The sequence below is a fragment of the Homo sapiens genome, chromosome 4 (assembly GCF_000001405.40).
Source record: "Homo sapiens chromosome 4, GRCh38.p14 Primary Assembly".
In the NCBI taxonomy this organism is placed as follows: Eukaryota; Metazoa; Chordata; class Mammalia; order Primates; family Hominidae; genus Homo; species Homo sapiens.
In genome coordinates, this window is record NC_000004.12 from 53,499,987 (window position 1) to 53,523,818 (window position 23,832).

The 23,832-nt window shown below is 42.9% G+C and overlaps 1 protein-coding gene and 1 long non-coding RNA gene across 6 annotated transcripts in view; one reads left to right on the forward strand and one right to left on the reverse strand.

The window, feature by feature from the left end:
- The window catches only part of LNX1 (ligand of numb-protein X 1), a 193,177-nt gene that overhangs the window by 40,686 nt on the left and 128,659 nt on the right, over positions 1–23,832 (reverse strand). For all 5 annotated transcript variants that reach the window (XM_005265785.6, NM_001126328.3, XM_024454262.2 and 2 more), the window contains 2 exons: positions 8,000–8,241; positions 7,331–7,483 (listed from right to left, as the gene is read on the reverse strand). In XM_005265785.6, the coding sequence (XP_005265842.1) occupies positions 7,331–7,483; positions 8,000–8,241 (395 nt within the window). The remainder of the gene's footprint in view (positions 1–7,330; positions 7,484–7,999; positions 8,242–23,832) is intronic.
- LNX1-AS1 (LNX1 antisense RNA 1) lies at positions 91–23,288 on the forward strand. The gene is made up of 4 exons (NR_046622.1): positions 91–141; positions 431–516; positions 1,862–1,990; positions 23,004–23,288. It is a non-coding gene; the product is annotated as an LNX1 antisense RNA 1 (long non-coding RNA).

A 23,832-nucleotide genomic window follows, 5' to 3' on the forward strand; every position in this document is an offset into this window, starting at 1 on the left:
CCACACAGAAAACAGCTGCTCTAATTGTCCTGCTGCTTGACAGTGATAGTCAAACACTACAAGTGAGGAGGTTTAAGGCTGAGAGAAGGGGAGTGAAGTAACTGACTGGACATCCCAAAGTTAGGTGGTCCTGAGAGCCAGGTCAGAACCCAGAGTTCTTGTGACCGGTACTCTCTGTCAGGTATCCCTGGAGCCAGGGGTTCACAGCCAGGCCAGAGCCCATGAGGGACTTGCTCTATGGACCTATGAGCCAGCAGCACCGACTGGCATTGTTTTTTTTTTCACTTCAGTTTGAATAGAAGTGTTCAGAGGGGACACCAACAAGTGATGGGAACAAGCCACACCTAGCTTGGTGGAAAAAGGGGCTCCTCCAAGCAGCTAGAGGCTCAAGTTTGAATGTAAAGGGCTGAGATGCTTCTGTCTTCCGTAGGTGCTGACAGCTGCCTCACCTTAAGAGTCTCCTTTCGTTATGGCATCTGGAAAGATCTCACATGGCAGGCCTGCTTCTAGTTCCTTGTGAGCATTTTCAAAACCCGTGACCTTAGTCCATTTTCCCTAATGAATTAATAAGTACTCAACTCTCTAAGAACAATAAAGAATTAAAATTATTTCTAAGTATGTTAGGGCAAAGTAACTTAGTGGGCAGAGGAAACCCGAGATGTTGTAAATGTGGGTCCTTAATCTCTATACTGATTGAACTGAAGTGACTGCATAAGGCAGGGGTAAGCTGGCTTCAGCAGTCAGCTCCTGGTACTAACAGTACTCGGGTGATTGAGTTCAATTAATGTTTAAACTACTTTGGTTATATTAAGTAGGCTATACCACAGGCAATTGCTAGAACATGTCTGGTATAACAAGGGAATGGAAAAAAATTCATTCTGAGCAAAGAAAGATTTGGAAATAATCACAAAAGCCAATTTTCCCTCCCTCATTCCCCTTCCCTTGTTACCATCTTTTCCAACAGATTTACAAAAACCACACTGCCAAACCTAAACCGCTAGAGAATGTTTGATTTGATAGCTTGAAAGGACATACCATTCACACTTGTAAATGATGTTAGAGCAACACCAATGAGATCCTAGTGACCTTAAAGAGATAAAGGAATTTTTAAACTGCCAAACTTGTGTTGGTCTGGAAAGTAAAAAATTTGCTCAATATTATGTCCTTACTCAAGGACTAAAGGATATAATCTTATTAGCTGAGAGTTTGTTATATGCTGACATTGAGTTAAGGTATTTGAATGCATTTTTTTGTTTAGTCTTCACAATAACCCTATGAAATAGATGATAATAATCTTTTTTTTTTTTTTTTTTGGGGGTGGGGGGACAGGATCTCACTCTGTCACCCAGGCTGGAGTATAGTGGTACAATCTTGGCTCAAAGCAGCCTTGACCTCATGGGCTCAGGCAATCCTCCCATCTCAGACCAAGAAGCTGGGAGTACAGGTGTGTGCCACCATGTCCCACTAATTTCATTTTTTGTAGAGACAAAGTCTCACCATGTTCCCCAGGCTGGTCTCAAACTCCTGGGCTCAAGAGATCCTCTCACTTTGGCCTCCAAGTGCTAGGATTACCGGTGTAAGCCACCATGCCCAGACCCATCTCTGTCTTTTCAGATGAAGAAATGCTGAAGCTTAGAGCATTAAGCAACCCAGCCAGGGTCACACAGTTGATAAACAGTGGCGCCAGTCCCTTTACTGACATTAAAAGGATGGATAAACCATGCCAGGAAGCTAACTGTAGGTTGCTGAAGCAATGAGGCCCTCTGGCCATTTTGAAAGCATTGTTGCCTCACAAATGCTGTGACGACATTGATACCAGGCTAGCTGAGTCTTAACACCTCACTCCATTCTGGAATTACAGCTTCCTAGTGTGTCTGAGGAAATCCAATCTCTCCCACTCCAGCCCGCCTACTCATTGAACATGGCTGCTATCTCTGTCTTCTGGAAACACGGCTCCAATCCTGCAACAACTCTATACAAGAGCTCCCAGGTGTGTTCACTACCCCCAAATCAAGTACAGACTCCTAAATAATAATCAGGACACACTATGATCTGACCTTCACCTCATCTTCTGTATTGGTCTGGAAAGAAAATGATTTGTTCAATATTATGTCCTCACTCAAGGACTAAAGGATATAATAATAATTATTAACTGAGAGTTTACTATATGCTGGCATTGAGCTAAGCTACTTGAATGCATTTTCCAACACACAGTCAGCATCCCAACATCCATCCAAGTCACATGGATTACACTGTCCCCTATGGCTGCTATGGTCATTAATTTATACTTCATTCTTCATAGTACAGGCATACCTCTGAGATATTGTGGGTTTGGTTCCAGACTGCTATAAGAAAGTGAGTCTTTTGGTTTCTCTGTGGTTATAAGAGTTATGTTTACACTGTACTCTAGTCTATCAAGTGTACAATAGCATGTTTTTTAAAATGTACATATCTCAATTTAAAAATACTTTATTGCTAAAACATGCTGTTTAACGATCATCTGAGGCTTCAGCTTGTTGTAATCTTTTTGCTGGTAGAGAGTCTTGCCTTGATGTTGATGGCTGCTGACTGATCACAGTGGTGGTTGCTGAAGGTTGGGAGTGGCTTGGCAATTTCTTAAAATAAGACAACAATGAAGTTTGCCACATGAACTGACTCTCGTGAAAGATTTTTATGCAGATTCTCTGTAGAATGCAATGCTGTTTGATAGCATTTAAACTTCAGTAGAACTTCTTTCAAAATTAGAGTCAATCCTCTACTAACCTTGCTGTTTTATCAACTATGTTTATGTAATATTCTCAATCCTTTGTTGTCGTTTCAACAATGTTCACAGCATCTTCAGCAGAAGTAGTTTCCATCTCAAGAAACCACTTTATTTGCTCATCCGTAAGAAATGCCTCTACACTCATTCAAGTTTTATTATGAGATTGCAACAATTTGGTCATATCTTTTTTTTTTTTTTTAGATGGAATCTTGCTCTGTTGCCCAGGCTGGAGTGCAGTGGTGCGATCTCGGCTCACTGCAAGCTCCGCCTCCCAGGTTCACATCATTCTCCTGCCTCAGCCTCCCGGAATTTGGTCATATCTTTAAGCTCCACTTCTAATTCTAGTTCTCTTGCTATTTCCACCACATCTATAGTTACTTTTCTCCACTGAAGTCTTGAACCCCTCAAAGTCATCCTTGAGAATTAAAATCAACTTCCTCCAAACTCCTGTTAATGTTGATATTTTGACCTCCTCCCATGAATCACTAATGTTCTTAATGGCATGTAGAAGGGTGAATCCTTTCCAGAAGGTTTTCAATTTTCCTTGCCCAGATCCATCAGAGGAATCACTATGTATGGCAGCTATAGCCTTTCGAAATTTATTTCTTAAATAATGAGACTTAAAAGTAGAAATTACTCTTTGATCCACGGGCTGCAGAATGGATATTGTGTTATCAGGCATGAAAACATCATTACTCTTGCGTCTCCATCGAAGTACTTGGGTAACTAGGATGCATTATCAATGAGTAGCAATATTTTGAAAGGAACTTTTCTTTCTGAGTAATAGGCCTCAACAGTGGGCTTAAAATATTGAGTAAACTATGCTGTAAAAAGATGTGCTGCCATCCAGTCTTTGTTGTTCCATGGAGAAAGCACAGGCAGAGTAGATTTAGCATAATTCTTAAGGGTCCTAGGATTTTTGAAATGATAAATGAGCACTGGACCCCACCTTAAAATCACCAGCTGTATTAGCCCCGAACAAGAGAGCCAGCCTGTCCTTTGAAGTTTTGAAGCCAGGCATTGACTTCTCTCTAGTTAAGAAAGTCCTAGATGGCATCTTCTCCCAATATAAGGCTGTATCATCTACATTGAAAATCTGTTGGCTGAGTGCGGTGGCTCACACCTGTAATCCTAGCACTTTGGGAGGCCGAGGCAGGCGGATGACCTGCGGTCAGGAGTTCAAGATCAGCCTGGCCAACATGGCGAAACCCTGTCTCTACTAAAAATACAAAAAATTAGCCAGGCATAGTGGTGCACGCCTGTAATCCCAGCTACTTGGGAGGCTGAGACAAGAGAATCACTTGAACCCAGGAGGCAGAGGTTGCAGTGAGCTGAGATCATGCCACTGCACTCCAACCTGGGCTACAGAGCGAGCGAGACTCCGTCTCAAAAAAAAAAGAAAATCTGCTTAGTGGAGCCACCTTCAATGATTTTAGCAAGATCTTCTGGAAAACCTGCTGCAGCTTCTACAATCAGCATTTGCTGCTTCGTTACAATCAGCATCTGCTGCTTCGCTACAATCTGCATTTGCTGCTTTGCCTTGCACTTTTATGTTATGGAGATGGCTTCTTTCCTTAAACCTCATGAACCAATCTCTGCTAGCTTCCAACTTTTCTCCTTTAGCTTCTTCACCTCTCTCAGCCTTCACAGAATCAAAGAAAGTTAGGACCTTCCTCTGGATTAGGCTTTGGTTTAAGGGAATGTTGTGGCTGTTTTGTTTTTCTATCCAGGTTACTCAAACTTTCTCCATATCAGCAATAAGGCTGTTTCGCTTTGTAAATCATGTGTTCACTGGAAGTAGCACTTTTAATTCCCTTCAAGAACTTTTCCTTTGCATTAATAACTTGGCTGTTTGGCACGAGAGGCCTAGCTTTCAGCCTACCTTAGCTTTCAATATGCCTTCCTTACCAAGGTTCATTTCTAGTTTTTGATTTAAAGTGAGAGACATGTGGCTCTTCCTTTCACTTGAATACTCAAAGGCTATTGTAGGGTTACTAATTGGCTTAATTTCAATACTGTTATGTATCAGGGAATACGGAGGCCCAAGAAGAGAGACATGGGGAAATGGCCAGTGAAGTAGTCAGAACACACAATTATTAAATTTACTGACCTATAAGGGCATGGCTCGTGGCACGCTAAAACAATTACAATAGTAACGCCAAAGATAACTGATCACATGTCACCATAACAGATATAATAATGAAAAAGTTTGAGATGCTGCAAGAATTACCAAAATGTGACACAGAGACATGAAGTGAGCACACGCTTTTGGAAAAATGGAGCAAACAGACTTGTTGGCTACAGGGTGACCACAAGCTTTCAATTTGTAAAAATAAAAATGAGGTATGCTTTTATTTTATTATATTTTAGTCTTGAATAAACCCCTTGATGCCAAGAACTACATTTTATATTCTTTATATAAAATGACAGCACCTAGGCCGGTGCCTTACATATAATAATCTGTTTTATAAATGTTTTTGTAATAAATATGCAAATAAATCTTTTTCAAGATAACTTTTTTTTTTTTTGAGATGGAGTCACCCAGGCTGGAGTGCAGTGACACAATCTCAGCTCACTGCAGCCTCTGCCTCCCAGGTTCAAGCAATTCTCCCGCCTCAGCCTCCCAAGTAGCTGGGATTACAGGTGCCCGCCACCATGCCCTGGCTAATTTTTGTATTTTTAGTAGAGATGGGGTTTCACTGTGTTGGCCAGGCTGGTCTCAAACTCCCACCCTCAGGTGATATGGCTGCCTCAGCCTCCCAAAGTGCTGGGATTACAGGAGTAAGCCACCACGTCTGGCCCAAGTAGTAGAGAACTTTACATGGAGTGGAATTGAAGAGTCTTTAATAAGAGGAAGAGACTGGTGGAAAGGAAGTTCTAATCTTTTCATTTAGCCATTGCACAGACATTTAGTGGACACTTATGTGCCAGACACTGTGCTAGGCCTTAAGAACAAAGATTCAGAAAAATAATCCCTGCACTTTGAGGTACAGTTACATGAAACATGATCATCGCTGATACAGGTGCTTCAAAAACACCTAAAAAGGGGGCTGAGGGAGTGAGGTTTCCAGGAGGAGGCAAAGTCTTACACTAAATCTGGAAGAAGGAACGTGAATGCCAGCTGAAAGGAGAGTGGGAGCGCAGGCTGGATAATGGAAGGGAGGTGAAAGAAAGATATACAGCATTTATAGGACTGTAATAAGCTGAGAGCTGTTAGAGCATGCAGCATGTACGTGCAGGGTGAGAGGCAATCATGAATAAGTATACAAGAAAAGGTCTGATAAGGCTGCTCATGAATTTTGAGGGCATAATACATACAGTGGTTTGGGTTCTGCCTCCCAACTCCCAAGAGTAGAGGGCAGTATAACCCAGGAGCTAAGAGAGTAGGCTCTGGAACCAGAGGACCTGATTTAAAATCTTGGTTCTGCCATTTTTTAGCTGGGTGACTGGGCTAGTTACCTAATCCCTCTGGGTCTCCGTTTTCTCATCTGTAAAATGGGAATGATAGTCCTATCCCCTTAACATTATTGTCACATCTAAATGACTTAAAACACTATGTGCATGCAGAAAGAGCTCAATTTTTTAAAAAAGCTGTTACTACTACTCTAAAGTTCTAACATAAAATGCAAAGACAGTAGGACAGTATTTCCTCAGCTCCACTTATATTGGGGAAAACATATGGGATCTAAGACTCAATAGCTTCCTTTGCATGAATTCTACAGCCATGTTACCTGGATTCAAAGTTTAGCAAGGTAATTTGAGCAACCTAAGTAACCTCTCTGTGCCACAGTTTCCTCATCTGTAAAACAGGAATAGGAGTGGCGCCAGGTGCGGTGGCTCATGCCTGTAATCCCAGCACTTTGAGAGGCCGAGGTGGGTGGATCACCTGAGTTCAGGAGTTCGAGACTAGCATGACCAACATGGAGAAACCCCGTCTCTACTAAAAAATACAAAAAATAGCTGGTTGTGGTTGTGGGTGCCTGTAATCCCACCTACTTGGGAGGCTGAGACAGGAGAATTGCTTGAACCCAGGAGGCAGAGGTTGCAGTGAGCCGAGATCATGCCGCCGTTGCACTCCAGCCTGGGCGACAAGCAAAACTCTGTCTAAAAAAAAAAAAAAAAAAAGAGGAATAATAGTAGCTACCTCATAGGGTTGTTGTGAGGCTTAAATGAGGAAATGCATGTAAAACACTCAGCACCACACCTCAAATGTAGTTGAAAGAGTAAGGAGAGCGAATATATATATTGCATTTATTATATGTGCCAGTCATTGTTTTAAATGTTTTTCACTCATTAATTATAATTATTCTTCCTCATATGCATAATGGTACTAGCGCCTGAAGGTGAGGGTTTCAACACTTTTTTCTTCAATCTATGTAAAAAGATGATAATACTTTCTGCCTTTAGCTACATACGTGAGAAGTAGGCTAATCAAAGTAAAAAATATTGTATACCCTTGGGAAGAGAGGGGTCACAGAAGGTGGAAGGTGATCAGATTGCGTCATCCCTGAAGTCCCCCTGGAAGCCCAGCCCATGTCCATCCAGCCTTATGGGGAGTTCATTTACCTTCAGGGGCAGTGGTGTTTTCAGAATTTTCCCTGCCCTGGTCGGCATGGTTGGCAACTGCACTCCCGCTCTTTGTCCTTCGAAGAACACTCAAAGCTCGATTTATTTTTTTAAATGATCTGCTTCTAATAGTGGATCTCTCAAAGGGCCGTGCTGAGGAATAGCGACAGGAGGAACAGTAGTTATGATTTAATAGAAATAATCATTTATGTACATATCTGATAAGATATACACAATAAGACATTAACAGTGACTACCTCTGGGTGGTAGGATTGTAGAATTTGCTTACCTGTATTTTTTAAGTTTTCTACAGTGAAATATGTACGACGTGCTTAAAATCCTGCTTTTCTTTTTTGTTTCTGGGCTGAACTGAATACAATACCACTTTTCTTGAGCAGCATGGCTGAAAAATTACTGACACTGCAGGAGTGATGAATCATTAGGTCTAGTTTCAGCCCCTTTCACCAAGTCAGATTACACACAGTTTTAATGATTGGAGGTACTTGCGGTTTCATTTCACTTTGGCGAATTGGACATTGGGTTCCTGCCAAAACTACCAGAACGATTTCCCCTTAAAAAACATTTACAGAACTTTCCACAGTAAGTATTCCACAGAGGGCAATCGCAAGCCAAGGAGCCCATTCCCGGACAACCACCCATTTGACTCACCCCTAGTTCGGTTGCTCCGGCCAGAGTCCACTGGGCTGATTGCTGGCTGCCCGTCCTCTGCCGAGGACACGTAGGCAGGGTTGTCTAGGCCAGGCTCGTCTGTCATTAAGGAGATGGTGGCAGCTGCAGAAACCTCTGGGGAGGGAGCCGTGGCTGTGAGGCTCGCACAGCCGTCTGGACAGCCATCTTGTGAGCGCCTCTTCCTATCTTTGGTCAGGCCGTAGTGGGAGGCACCTTTACAGCTGTAACAGAACCAGCGGGGAGGTGAAGAAGAGCTTTGGCTCTGCTGCCATTCCTCAGTCAGCCCTCTTCAAATACAATTGAAGAATGTATAATAGGCTTGTTGAACTTGGAATTTGATTTGCCTGCCGCTATATCCTCTCTTCCCTTTTCACACATCGGTACTCAATATACATTTGCCAACCAAGTGAATTCATAATTTGAGATTTTTTAAAGACGCCCACTGCATTCTCTTAAAGCAATCTCTACATTGGCTGCTGGAATGCAAATTTATTCAGGTCACCATGGTGTCTACATGAGTAGGGTTTGAGGCTGGCAATGTTCAACTATTTGGTAATTCCTGCTTGCTGGTGTTTATTTTGACCATGAAAGCCCTTAGTCACACCCTCACTCTTCTTTTGGATTTTGTTCCCAGAGCACTGAACGTAAATATAAAGCTCCTCCCAGATTCCATATTTAACTGTTCATGCAAACAGAATCACCCTCACCACAAAGCCACAGGAGTGAGTTCAGCATTGCTATCCTCTAGTGGCAGCTTGGTGGCTTCCATTCTCTTTCTCTGGGCTGGTCTGGGAGGGCCTCCCTGGTGTTGGGGGCTCCCATGATCTGAGAAGTGTCATTCATTGCCATGTTGTCTACCATTAAGAGAGTAAAACAGCTTTTGTGGTTTTTAGCAAAAACATATTTGTCTCTACCCATTCACTATCCATGCTATAAAAAAAAATCCAGAAAACTCCACAAAAACCAAACTTTGTGAGAAAAGCAAGTTATTGGTGCAATAGAAAGAAGTTGAAAAAGAACATTCTCGAGGCTCAGAAGACCAAGGTTGGAGCTGATCTAGGTCCATATTTTGCCATGAACATGAACACTGCCACTCGGCAAGTCATTGCAGCGCACAGGCTAGGTTTTGGTCAGGAAATGGTGATTTAACTATCTCACTCTACTGTGGGGAGGGTAGCTACAGGTAACCACTCCAGTTTCCACAGTTGTGAAGGCAGAAATCATATCACGAGCCCCTTTAGGAAGTGTCCATTTGCATATAATGGATGTGTTAATTATAAATTCTTATCAATTCATTACTCAAAACCCTATATGATTGAGCTATTTTAAATAGCCCTTTGAGATCCTACTTCAGGGATGCTTCATGTTTTTGAAAGTAGATGAAATCAAAGGTCAGTCTACCGTGATATGCACACATGATTTTTACTGCCCATAGAATCATAGAAATGGCAAGATGGAAGGTCCTATTGTCTAGATCTAAATCCTTGCTCTGAAATTTACATAGCTGGGTGATCTAGGGAAATTTTATTTACCTGGCTAAACTTCCAAATTTGCATATACTTTCTGGATTGCTGTGAGGTTTGATCGACATTAAGTCTTATCAGGGGTTTAGTACTTTTTGCCAAAAGTACTAGAATGCAAATTCATTAAAGTCGTCATGGTATCTACATGACTACAAGCAGTTCTCATGAGATTGTCGCTATTTCCATATTTTGTACATCCTAAGATGCTCTTTTCATGCTTTAACATGTCTAAAATCAGGATGCATGTGTGATTGATGGGGTTGTGAAGTTTCTGTTGCCAGGTGGCAGTCATGATGCAGACGTCACCATCCCAGCACTGCAAACCCAGTCGCACGAGTACCCCTTATCACTTCCATTGAGTTGCCTACATACTTGGTATTACACCATTGAGTTTAATTGCCATTTGAATGTAATGATTCAGTACTAAAATGAAAAGTTATAGAAAGCCTCAAAAACAGAACAATTGGATATTGATGAAGTACATATTCATTGTTAGAAGCAGAATCACAATTCTGTGTTTTCTTGCAAAGGGACAAGCAAATGTTTTATCTGCTTAGAAAGATGCACCCAAGGGAATTAAAAGTGGTGTTACATTTTGTTATTGAGAACATTCAAAAAGGATTGCCTATTTCATGCCAAGCAACACAACCAAGGGCAGGAGAAGCTGCCAAATTCATCTGAATGGATTTCAAAGCCACAAGAGTCTAGTTCACCAATCTATGCATCATGGGGATATCTTTGGTGTTTGGGGATTATTTAACTGATGGCACATTTTAAAATGTCATCTTCTTTGCTGTTATATGAACATACCTCTCATAGTCAGTGGCATCTTAGATTAGATGAAATGTGGTTTTAATATTAGTAGAAAAGGAGTTTGGTTATACAACCTTATGTCCTCATCTTCTAGATGAGAAAACAGGCCTCCAACTTACACTGCTAGTGCTTGTCCTCAGCTGGAAGAGTTCAAATTCCTGGCTTGAATTCGTGAGGTTTTACTGTACCGATTAGCTGCGTTGGCTTGGAATCATTCTGTTTAAACATAGTGAAGAGGTTGATCTGGGAAACTCAAAAATTGGTGAAACACTGTGTGATGGAAAAAATAAAAGCCAACTTGCATTTGAGCGGCTCCAACGTAACAAATACTTGAATGAAACACTTCCAGGCAGGCTGGTAGTATCTGATTAGCAGTGCATGGAAAGGAAGTTCCTAGCTGGTCTGGAAATGGTCTTTTCTGAGGAGGCAGCAATGCTCTTGACCATGTGCCCTGCCAGAATAGTAACGTTATTTTCCAGCTGGACAAATGGCTGGCAAAGGTACAAGCCATGGCTTTGTTGGGAGGACACAGCATGTCCTAGTAAAAGAAACTGGCACCTTTCTCTGCTGCCCCATCAATGGGGGTTACAGTATTTTAAAAATATCTGAATCCCAAGATTATGCCATTAAGAAACCATTGCACTTTCAAATTCTTGGGGTTCTAAAGATAAGTTTTTGAGTCCAGGAAAGGAAAACCTCATAAGGTAGGTAAGTAGCCTTTCCTTTGGTCTCATATCACAGCTGTTCTTACAACAGCTGGGGAGGGTGCAGATTCTTGATTTAAGTATTCAGACTCACGTGCTTTGTGTAATAAAGGTTCTGCTAATGCAACTCATACTGTGTAATGTTAGCTTTCTCCAGTCTCTTGGCTTAGCTTGAGCCAGAGACAGAGTGATCTATGAAGGTAGCAGCTTGTACTTACTAATTATCTCTTTTGTGGTGACTAATACTGGGGCAGCTTGATTTACAAGCATTAAAGATGGAAGAAGCGGGGAAGAGCTGATTAGCATTGGCCAGGACAAGAACATACGGTAAACCCTGGGTTGTGTTCAAAGCAAGGAGGATTTATGCTTCCTTTCAGTTACTCTGAGCACTAAGTACTCTCAGATGGTGATGGGTGATGGCCATGAACTTGAAGGATGAATACAAGGAACACAGAAAACCCCTTTTCAACCAAAGCACAAGCTTTGGAGGTGCTGTCCATTCAAATGAGCAACTCTGAAAAATCAGTTTTCTTGGGAGATCCTGAGCTCTTTTATCAAAGTGAGTAGAGGTAAATCTGTCTTAATATAAGAATGTTAATACTCAATGCCAGAATTTTTGTCTCTTTTGGGGTTGGAGGGGGGATAAGGAAAGAAAATGAATCTCCTTCCTGCAAAACTTCTGAGTTCACTGCTAATGAGAGTTGGAGACGAGACACAGGAGGGAACTCAGATGTGATTCACAGACGTTCTGATAGGGTATCCTCTGCAAAGGTCACCCAACAGGGCAGCGTGATCTGGGTTCCCATGAAGAGCTCCTTTCTGATGCTGAACTTACCCACTTATAATAGAATAAGAGTTGTTCACAAAGTGAACCTCAATACTCACCAACATCATCCAGCCATACGACCTCCCTTTGATCTCTCCAACTTTCTGTAAATTCTTTCTCTTGGTTCACTGTTGCATTAGCAAACATTGAGTCAACTCTCACTTTGGGTTCATTAATTGTCCAGTCTGATCTGACTTCAAACAAGAGCTTGCAAATTCATATGCTCGTCAGGTGAGAGAATGAGGGAAGGAAGGCCATTGGGGACCATGGTGAGCAGTGCTGCTTGACTTAAGGACACAGTGGCTGCTCCACCCTTCCCTGTTAAAAAGGCTGGCCCAGTGTCCCTGGAGAAATTTGGAAGTTTTTCAATGTAAAATCTCTTGATTTTTTAGATGGTAGCAAGATTTTAAGATTCGAAAATCTTAAAAACACTGTGTGGTCCAAACAAAACACATCTGCAAGCCAGCTCTAGCTCCAGAGATGGCACATTCTAATCTCTGGTAATTAAAAAAAACTGCCAACACAAGTAGATCAGACCCATTTTTCTTTCTCAGTCCTCTAGAATGCAACACTACCCTTTCCTCTTTCTCCAGTCTTCCTCCCTACCCAGTGTTTGTGTGTGTGTGTGTGTGTGTGTGTGTGTGTGCATGCAGAGGGGAGATGACCCCTAAAGAGGGCTTTCCTATGATTATTTGCCCTGGCCCCATTTCTGATCCAAGTCCAAAAATGAGACTAATTTTTCAACTGTATTTCTTTCACCCATGAGAGCACTAATGGCTGGCCCATAGCTATTATTTAATGAGAAAGGGAGACACTCAGTCCTAATTTATGTATTCTTTCTTTCAGGCAGCGAGAATCAAGATTAGGGGACTCTGTAGGGAAGTAAGTCTCCTTGCCAGCAGCTGGGTTTTAGGTATTAGCTGCTCTACTGAATGGGATGAGTGATTCTGAAACTTTGCTTGAGGTGGGGTTCCTGGGGCCAGGCTGGGAGACTGTGCTGTCAGGAAGGAGATGGTCACTGGGAGACTGAAATGGGCTCTCCCTGAGCACTCGGGTGAGTTTGGGCCTCAGTAATGTGTGCTCAGCCCCCAACTCCATCTCCACGGCCAAACCCTGGAGCTGGTCCTCCTGACACCACATCTCCATGGCTTTGCAACCAACCCTGGCCTATCCCTCTGCCCCTGGTCTAGCCCTCCATCCTCTACCCCACTGCATCTTAACCATACCAACAATTTTTTTTTTTAACTCAAAAACCGCCCAGGGAAATGTTCCCATCGCTTCCAGGCCTTCCCTGATCCATATTATCGATCACGGTCTCTTGCCTACAAATCTATGGCAGCCCAGAAGGCAGTCTGGCAGAAGACAGCTCATATCTATTGATCTTTTTTAATGTATTATGCTTTATGGATGTGGTCTCATTTAAGCCTCCCACTTGTCCTATTAGTTATACCACCTCACTTCACAGATGAAGATATGGACAGTAGAAGGGAGAAATGCCTTGTCCGAGTTCAGAGGTGGAGCTAGACTCTGAAGCCAGGCTGTGGGTTCCATGCTTTCTCCCCTTATATGGCTTCCCTGATCCCTAGACTCATATCAAACTGCCCATTCCATGTCATCACTTAGAAGTCTAATGGGCAGCTCAAACTTAACACTTTCATCCTCCCTGCCAAACCAGCTCTTCCCACATGTTCCTGTGTTACTAAATAGCTCCTTATCTGTCATTCAGGCCAAAAATCTCAGATTCATCCTTGATTTCTTTCTTTCTCTGGATACCCCAAATACAATCCAACATGAAATATTCAGAATCCAACTACTTTTCATCATGGCTACTGCCACCATACTGGTCCAAGCCACCATCATCAGTGCCTGGATTATCCCAACAGTCTCCCAAGAGGAGTCTTGCTTCCATACTTGTGTTGTCTGCCCATCTATTCTCAACAGAGCAGCCACAGTGATCTTTTCATAATGGCTCTCCACTTTACTAAAGCATAAGGTCCTTACAACGATCTATACGGCCCTATATTTTCTGTCTGTTGTGACTTCTGACTTCCTCTCCATCCCTTGCTCATACAGCCCTCCTGCTAGTCCTCAAACTTGCCCACCATGTTCCTACTTCTTCAGGGCCTCTGCACTTTGCTGCTGCCCCTGCTGCCTCAGATATGCCTTCCCCAGATTCCCATCCAGTTTGTTCCTGCATCTCCTTCAGGCCTCTGATTAAAATCCCTCTTCTCTGACCACCTGATTTAAACAGCGGCTTCTTTTCTGGCACATCCTACCCCTGCTTATTTTCTGTCTATGGAATGCAAGTTCCAAAGGGCAGGGATTAAGGTTCTGCTTTGTTAATTGTTTTATCTCCAGTGCCAAAGACAATGACTGGCATATAGAAGGTGCTCAGTGTATGACTTTTAAATGAAAGAACGACTTTTGCTAATGAAAGAGCATGGGGTTGTATTAGTCCATTTTTACACTGCCAATAAAGACATACCCAAGACTGGGTAATTTATAAAGAAAAAGAGGTTTCATGGACACACAGTCCCACCTGGCTGGGGAGGCCTCACAATCATGGCAGAAGATGAGGAGGAGCAAAGTGACGTCTCATATGGCGGCAGGCAAGAGGGCTTGTGTGGGGAACTCTCCTTTATAAAACCATCAGATCTTGTGAGACTTATTCACTACCATGAGAACAGTATGGGGGAACTGCCCCCATGATTCATGGATCTCCAACCGGGTCCCTCCCACAACATGTGGGAATTAGGGGAGCTACAATTCAACACAAGATTTGGGTGAGGACAGTCAAACCATATCAGGGGTGAATTATCTAAATTGGCTATCTACACTAATCAGATGACTCAGGCCATCTGTGTTTCTGCCCAGGGAAAGTACCCCCCTTGGACTATAGCATCTCAGTGTAAACACCATACCATCTCTGTACTCAGACTTTTCAAGCTAAGGGACCTGAACCATGAACAAGGCATGGAACTATATGTTTAATGAGTTTTGGGTTATTGACCTCAAGAGAACATTTAACTGACAAATTAGGCTAAACATTTTAATTTTAAAAAATATTTAATTGAGGGACAATATTTTAAAACCTAAATACCCCATCCAAACAACATATTTAATGAATCTAAATCCAAATGCAGCAATATTTTCTATACCAGAAAACTGTGACTCAAGGATATTTCACAGAGAGATGGGAATTAACTGGTTGGGGGAGAAAAGTCTAGTTCCACAATTACACCAGTAGAACCAAACTTTGAATATGTAGGAGCTCTCTCTCCAGGACTGAGATGGCTTCCTCACATTAGTGCCAGAGAAGTGTTGGCTCATGGAGTCCCACATCACTTAAGGCCGCCAGTCAAGACACATCAGCTCTGCCTTGGCTAGCTGGTTAGCTGCGGGCAAGTTGTGGCCACAGAGCTATACAGTAAACATTTCTTGAATTGATCTGAGCAACTGTCACCCTTTTGGTATTCCGTTGATTGAAATTACAGCATTGGGAATTGTGGGATTCACTCACACCACCCTGATAATGCATAATTACTTGTGGTCGATTGTGATACCAATGCTAGTCTCTCCTTTCTCCTAGCAAGCTCATGAGTTCCCTTTCCATTTCCCTGCACTTCAATTTAAGGCCCCCACCCCACCAAAAAAAAAATGACAAGAAGACCGACTTAAGAAACTGATCTTTTTTTCATGTATTTCCCTGGTAATTTTGATATGATTTTATTTGCTTTGAGTTTAAGAAGCATTATGCATGTAATAAAACTGAAGGGTAATGACCATAACCTTTCTTTGATGGGTTATGCTGCTACAGTGGGTTTTTAATCATAATATTGAAATACATTTTTCAATAAACACTCATGGGAGGGTCTTCTAAGAAAGATGGCACAGCACGGAGGAAAAAGCACATGCTTTCACTTCTAAAGAATCTGGATGTGAATCCCAGATCTGCCTTATGGAAGGGTCTCCTAAGAAGGCAACTCTACTGGCTCTGCAACTTTGGACAAGTGTCTTAATTCCTCTGAGCCTTGTTTCTCATACATAAAATGGGCACAGTGTTTATTTACCATGAGGTTTAAAGATTCGCACAAAAGGCCGAGTGTGGTGGCTCATGCTTATAATCCTAGAGCTTTGATAGGCTGGGGTGGAAAGATCACTTGAAGCCAGGAGTTAGAGACCCGTAGCAGGACCCATATTCTACAAAAAAATTTAAAAAATTAGCTGGGCATGATGGTGCATGCTTGTAGTGTCAGCTACTCAGGAGGCGGAGGCAGGAGGACTGCTTGAGCCCAGAAGTTCAAGCCTGCAGTAGGCCATGACTGGGCTACTGCACTCCAGCCTGGGCAACAGAGCAACACCCTATCTATCTCTTTTAAAAAAAGAATCACGCAAAATGCCAAACAGTACCTGGAATATATAGTAACTCAGTAATCAGTAACTAGCATAATTATTGTCTAACATCAAGGCATAATGTTAGACACTGTGGATGCAAAGAAAACGACAATGTATGCACTTGGTTCATGAAAACAGAAAAACCTCCATGCCACATTATCAGAGAGACAGAGAGGGAGGTAAGAGCTAAGTGTCAGGAGAGCTCAGAGGAAGGGGCTACTGATTCTGCTTGGGGTAATTGGAGAAGGCTTCTTAGAAGAGATGAAATCTGAGCTGAGTCTAGAAAAATGAGTGACATTGGTCTAGCAGACTAAGTATGAGTGGTATATTCAAAAGCTCCAAGGATGCAGGTGCATGGCAGGTGCCAGGAATGGTAGATTCTGGGCAGGTTTTGTCCTATGTGACACCAATGAGGAAAGAACAGACCTGAAGTGAGATCCAAGAGGAGCAACATGTTGGTGGCAGTGCTGGGGATAAACCCAGGATACCTGATGGCCAGTCCATCTACCTACTTCTGGGGTTCAGTAATCCTAAACCATGCCCGTGGGGGTAAGAGACAAGTGGGCATTGCCAAGTCTGATGCCAAGACAGGAGAGGGGAGGAGGTTTCAGAAGGAATGAAGTTGACAACAGAGGGCTCGCAGTCAGCTCCTTGCAGAGACTCCCTGACCATCAATCCAAAGTGAACTGCTGCCCCTGCCTGCCAGTCACACTCTTTGGAAATTATATTGCTGGTTTGTTTTCTCCCAGCAGAATATAGATAGCTTCCATGGGAGTAAACGTCCTGCTTTTCTTGCTCGCCACTGAATCCTCAGCACTCTGCAAAGAGCACTGGCGGACAGGGTCTGGCAGGGTGGGGGTGGTTGGGGGTGTTAAAGGAGCCTGAGAGATTCTAAAAGCAGCTAATTGTTTTCTTGCTCCTTTCATTAGAGTCTGTTTATGCTTTTGATTGTGTTAGCCTAGATATGTTTTAATAGTTATGGGCCACCTTGATCTTTTTTTTTGAAAGAAAGCAGATATATAGTTTAAATATATGATAACTAATTATTTCATGACTCCTTTAGTGAAAAGCACTAGAAATCTTTATTGTGTGAGATAAAAATAAATGCATCAGTCAGCGCCTTCCAAAACAGTTCCACTTGCACTCCCTGAGCCCACCCTCAAATAGGTCCTATCCCTGCTAATTGAGTCCTGATCATGCTACTTGGAGGACACTCAAGTAACAATAATACAACTTCTATTCATAGAATTCCTCTAGTCCTCAGGCATCCTGGTCCTCAGCACAGACCTCCTGTAAAGAACTTTCCGAGTTCAGTTTGGATAATTACGTTCTACGTGTCACCTCAACTCACCATACCTGCATCTTCTTAAATAATAGCTCTTTGGCCTAAAGACATTAGGTAAAGACATTCTTCCTTGTTTGGATTACTTTTTCTCCCCTTCTAAGTTAAAACCCATGTTGCCTGGCACTGAATTACATGGCTGCTCACATAGCTACCAGAAACTGCACATGGAAAAAAGTTATGAGCATTTTTGCGTAGTCAGAGGTGAACTGAATATCAGTTGAGAAGTAAAAGAGGTCATCAGCTGGGCAAGTCCACCATCTGGTATTCAGTGTAGATCCGAGTATGAACTTGAGGCTGAATGGCCCTCGCCCCAGAGGACAGGTGGATTTCTGACATCATTTACCACCAACCACACACGGCTTCCCCTCATTAGCCCCTTTCTTCTGCCTCCAAACTGCTGGGAAAATGTCCCTAGTCCTTCCAACCACCACTGTTTCACTTGTTAATGAACACCAGACAGGAAAAATTCAAAACAAGCTGGAAAGTCATGTGAAAATGCAGGCCACCATCATGGGCACCTGGAATCTGTCTTGGCTTGTCAGGGTGCGGCCAGGAGAGGCGTGATGTGCCTTCAAGGTAGAGTCTGCTCAGGTGACAAATGGTCCAATCCCAACCTAAGCAAGCACACTGACTTGGTTTACCAAAGATGCTGACATGTTCCTATGGCATGGATCACCTAGTGCTGAACAGGCATGAGACACACTGGCTAGTCTCTGCACAGTTCCAATTTCAGGGTGAGAGGGAGGCAGGGAAGAAGTGGACATTCTTCCACTTAATGTTAATGACTCTCCTTTAATGCCGATGTTTTTCCTATCGGTTTACAGAGTTAGTGTCTGTAAGAATCTGTGGCTGCATCTTTTTATCCTTCAAATCTCAACTCACAAATTAATAGTAACATAATTACAGCCAACACTTACAGTGCCCTCACCAGAGACCACATACTGTTTTACATGCTTCCTATTAACCCATTCAATCCTCATATCATCCCTATGAGGAGGGTCCTATTATACTCCCACTTTACTAATTAGAAATTAAGGCACAGAAAGATTAAGAACTTTCCAAAAGTCACACAGCTGGTAAGTGGAAGGGCTAGGATTTAAACTGAAGGCAGAGAGAACTTTAATTGAAGTGTGCACCTCAGGACTGTTAATAGGCCATGCACCCTGGTGGCTGATTATTTGGGGGGCAACTGTAACATGGGACGTAGGGAAAAGCATGGAAAATTAGAAGCAGGTTTTTCATAACCTTATATTCTTTATAGACCTATAAATGCCAGCTACTGAGTAACTGCCATGAGGAATACAAATGGCACAGGCTGGCAAGTGAGTCTGTCATAACGGGGTTGGCATCTTCAGCCTGGAGTTGACAGGCAGGAGTGGTGAGCATCACACTGCCAGGCCTCTGTCCTGCTTTGTCATCAGGGCCATTTATCATTGCTGCATGCCTCATAGGTCAGTGCATGGGGGAGGTGGTTGTGGTGGTCCCCACATGCCCAGGCTGGCTGTCTCACTGCCCCTCTTCCTCTCCAAAAATAATTAGCTCCAAACACAGGCAGCAAGCATCGTAGAAGCAGAGGCCTAAAAGGATCTTGTCTAAGTGTGCGGGCACCTCCAGGTGATTTATTTCATCCTTTTCTAGAGAAAGCACCTTAGTCCAGGCACTCATATATTCATATTCATGGTCTAAACACATAGCATTTGAGGTGGGAAACAGGAGGCCAACTTACCCATCTCCCACTGGGTGGGGAGGTACCCTTTCTCTCCTGTTAATAACAGCAGTCATAACAGTAACCACCTGAGCTATCATTTGTTCAGTTTTGTTCAGTGTTTTTTTTTTTTTTTTTTAATCACAAGGCATGGTACCAGGACTTATTTTATGAAAACTTCCCCCCACTGGTTGTATTAGGCCCATCTTATAGATGGGGAAAATGAGGCTCAAAGAGGTTAAGTAATTTATCCAAGCTGACAAAACATTAAAGCAAAAGAGCTGAAAGAGTAGCTCTGTCTGAGATCTTGTTGATTTAAGCCCTGTGTCTGTCAAGGTATCTGACACACACACACATGCGCGCACATGCACACACACACACTCCTTAACAGGCGTCAGGCTATTCTGAGCACTCTACCCTTTATTCATTTAATCTTCACAACAACCTCATGAGATGGGCAGGATTATTATCCCCAGTTTGCAAATGCGGGAACTTAATACAAAGATTCACTTGCGCAGGTTTGCGCAGTTTGCATATAGGGTGACCAACCATCTCAGATTGCCCAGGACTGACTGGATTCTTGAGACGTGGGATTTTTGGTTTAAAAACTGGTCAGTCCAAGGCAAACCGATGTGCTGGTGCTCACCCTATAAGTGACAGAGACAGAATTTAAGTCAAGAGTTGTGAATGCTCATAACCATGACATACACTGCATCTTTTTCCTTTGTGGATGTTCTGTCCCCACGTTTAGTAGAAACAGAAGCTAGTTTTGGAGGAGCTTTGTGGTTTCAGGTACCTCCCAGTGTGCGCTCATCTGGTACTAAGATGGGTGTCCAGAATGTCACCCCCAAACTGCTGCTGAAGGCACAGCCTCTCACAGCAACCCCTGCGGGTCCAAACCTTATGCAGTTGCAGGGCTTCCCAGGGACTGAAAGAACTGATTCCATTGTTTAGTTTAAGAAGACCTGAGCTGATAGCCTGGAGTGCCTGATAAATACCAGTGCTGCTCCCTGGAGTGACAACTCAGAATTCCAAAGCCACAACCAGATGTGGAGTTGACAGTAGTTAATGAGGGATGGTCGAGGGCTTGGGCACAGTCCACATGCCAGGTCAATTCTTCAGAGACGCCAGAATCGTTTGTTCATTCTGTGAGTCTCTGGCATCTTTGGGGTCACCGAGTTCATTTCCTCCATACTTTGGGGAGGGGGAGCAGGCAATTTCCATGCGACAGATGATTTGAGTTTTCTGTTATCTGTCCATGCATTCAAGTGTGTATGTGATGTGATGGGGTGGGGGTCAGGTTCTTTTTGGTTAACTTTTGGTCCCTGCAATTCTTGGTTCAAAATTATTCTGTTTACTTTTGGCTGGGCATGGAGGCTCATGCCTGTAATCCCAACACTTTGGGAGGCTAAGGTGGGTGGATCACTTGAAGTCAGGAGTGGGAGACCAGCCTGGCCAACATGGCAAAACCCCATCTCTACTAAAAATACAAAAATTAGTTGGGTGTGGTGGTGAGTGCCTGTAATCCCAGCTACTTGGGAGGCTGAGGCAGGAGAATCACTTGAACCCGGGAGGTGGAGGCTGCAGTGAGCCAAGATCGTACCACTGCACTCCAGCCTGGGCAATGGTTCGAGATTGTCTCAAAAACAAACAAAAAAACCCCAAATTATTCTATTTACTTTTAAAACACTTGGAGACAACCAAAGTCTAGCTTTTGGTTTTTGGGAAACTGGGCTATGGATCAACGGTGCTTTCTATTTCAGGACTGACTAGGAAGTGTTTTTAGAATAACTGGAAAGGGTGGGTTTCATGGTGGTGAGGGTTTCTAGAAGTCAGAACTGACTGCCTAGTGAGGTTTTCTGATCAGTTTTGAAAGCAGCCTGGGTTTTCAGCTGCCTGTGATGAGCTCTTTTTGAGTCCTCGTGTTTTTGTGAAGTCTATGCAACCCCAGGGGCTCTGCAGAGGTTGTCAGAGCTTGATATCGAGATGGAGGTGTGGGGGAAGGTGAAAATCATTCCCAGACATTTGAAAACATTTCCTCCGTTCCTCAAAGTGCATTCCATCGCATTCTCAGAATAACCAAGATATCTCCGAGTTTGCCCAAGCCCCTTCTGGGCTGGGTGTCACAGGCCCTCCTGGATATGCTGCATGACACTCAGTGGAAAATTGTGTTCTTCCTTGCTCGGGGTTTGGAAACGTGTCATGCAAAGATAGCTGGTTCCTCATACCAAATATTTTTACATGAAACAAAAATCCTATTTTTCCAGCCAGTTTCTGTATTTGCTAAATGAGCTTCCTCTTCCCTCCCAATATATTTAAAAGAAACAACCTTACTCCTTCTATAAAACATATTCCCAAAAATTGTGTTATGCAAACGAAGGGGGAAAGGAGGGGATGCTTTTCCTGTTTGCAGGAAATGCTATTATATTAAAATATTTATTGGATAACTGAAAGCTCTTCTTCTTCTATCACCCTTGGGCCAGGCTTACTCTTTGGTTACTGCTCTGCTGGATTCCTCTGACCCCAGGCTGGAGTGCAGTGGCATCATCATAGCTTACCACAGCCTCAAACTCCTGGGCTCAAGGGATCCTCCCTCCTCAGCCTCCTGAGTAGCTAGGACTACAGGTGTATACCACCACACCTGGCTAACTTTTTCATTAATTTTTTTGTAGAGACTATGTTGCCCAGGCTGGTCTTGAATTTCTAGGCACAAGCAATCCTTCCATCTCGATCTCCCAACTAGCTAGACTACCAGCGAGAGCCACCACACCCAACTCTGCTCAGTTCTTTTTGTTTGGCAGACGAGGCTTCTTGGGCTAGACAAGGCTTCTTGCAGTCAGACACATTGACAAACTGTCCCTCTTCACATCAAACCCATCTCTACCACAGGTCTTTGTCCAATCTGGCTTCCCACCTGGAGTGGCCACCACTCAAACAAATCCTACTCTTTTTTCCTAAGGCCTGCCTCTCATCTCACTTTCTCCACTGATGCTTCATAGTGATCTCTCCCCTCTCAATGCATTTATTTATTCCACAAATACTGAAGTGATTACTAAAGTCTACTAAATGTAAGGCACCAGGCTTGGTGCTCCTATGACTCTATACCAGTTAGCAATCCAACACAGAAATAAAGCAGACAGGCAAACAAGTCCAATATGTCTATACTTGCTTAGTGCTGGGACCTTAGGGTTTTATTACATATTGACACAGAGAGTTGCATGGATGTTGGTTGAGCCTGTTTTACTAGACTGCAAACTTCCTAAGGCCATGTCTCCTGTCTTTTGTATCCTCCACTGTACATACAGGGTTGAAGACACAACAGACATTCATGAAATACTTCTTTACTTTTATTAGGATCAAATAGGAATTGCTCTTTTTCTGATTTCAAAAGTAATTGAGGCTCAGAGAAGAAACTTTTTAGAATATGGAAAATAAAGAAAATATTATCCAGCCTGGGCAACAGAGCAGGGCCCTGTCTCAAAAACACAAAACCAAAACCAAACCAAACCAAACCAAAACCCTGTAATTCCACCCCCAGAGAAAACTGCTGCTAATGTGTTTTATTTATTCTTTCAATCTTTTTTCTATGCATAGACACATATACTTCTGTATGTTTATGATTTTTGTATTGATTCTGCTATCAATTATTAACATGCTTGTCCTCCTATCCAGTGGTTCTTAACCTTGGCTGAGCAACAGACCCATTTGGGAAGATTTTTAAAAATCTAGCTTATGAGATACCTCAGATCAATCAATCCCTGGCAGTGGGTCTGCTAAACATCAGATACAGACAAACAACTGCATAGATCTCCAACTAGATTGAAGAACAGGACCCTCCAGAGAGCTTCCAAGAAGACACCAACCTAGGCATGGGTTTATGTTCCTGACAAAGAATAAGGATTGTTATGAAGAATGTTCTATTTTGAATTGTGAAAATAATTATTTAAAGCTGTACAATTTTTTTTGTTTGTTTGTTCTGAGACAAGGTATCACTCTGAAGACAAGGTCACCCAGGCTGAAGTAATATGGCATGGTCTCAGCTCACTGCAACCTCTGCCTCCCAGGTTCAGGTGATTCTCCTGCCTCAGCCTCCTGAGTAGTTGGGACTACAGGCGTGCACCACCACGCCTGGCTTATTTTTGTATTTTTAGTAGAGATGAAGTTTTGCCATGTTGGCTAGGCTGGTCTTGAACTCCTGACCTCAAGTGATCTCCCTGCCTTGGCTTCCCAAAGTGCTAGGATTACATGCGTAAGCCACAGCACCTGGCCTCAAGCTGTATGATTTTATATGATATGCACATCTCATGTGAAATCAGATAGTAGCCTATTAGTAGGAGACTAGGAGACTAGGGATTTTTCTGCTTCTTAGGTACATTTGGAAATACAGTTTTTGCATCTCCAAATGAAGACAGACCCAGATGCATTGTAGAAATCACTCTGCTTTTAGGTAGTTTTAGACTTGAAACAATTAGTGGCCCTCTTTACTTTGCTAATTATCCTA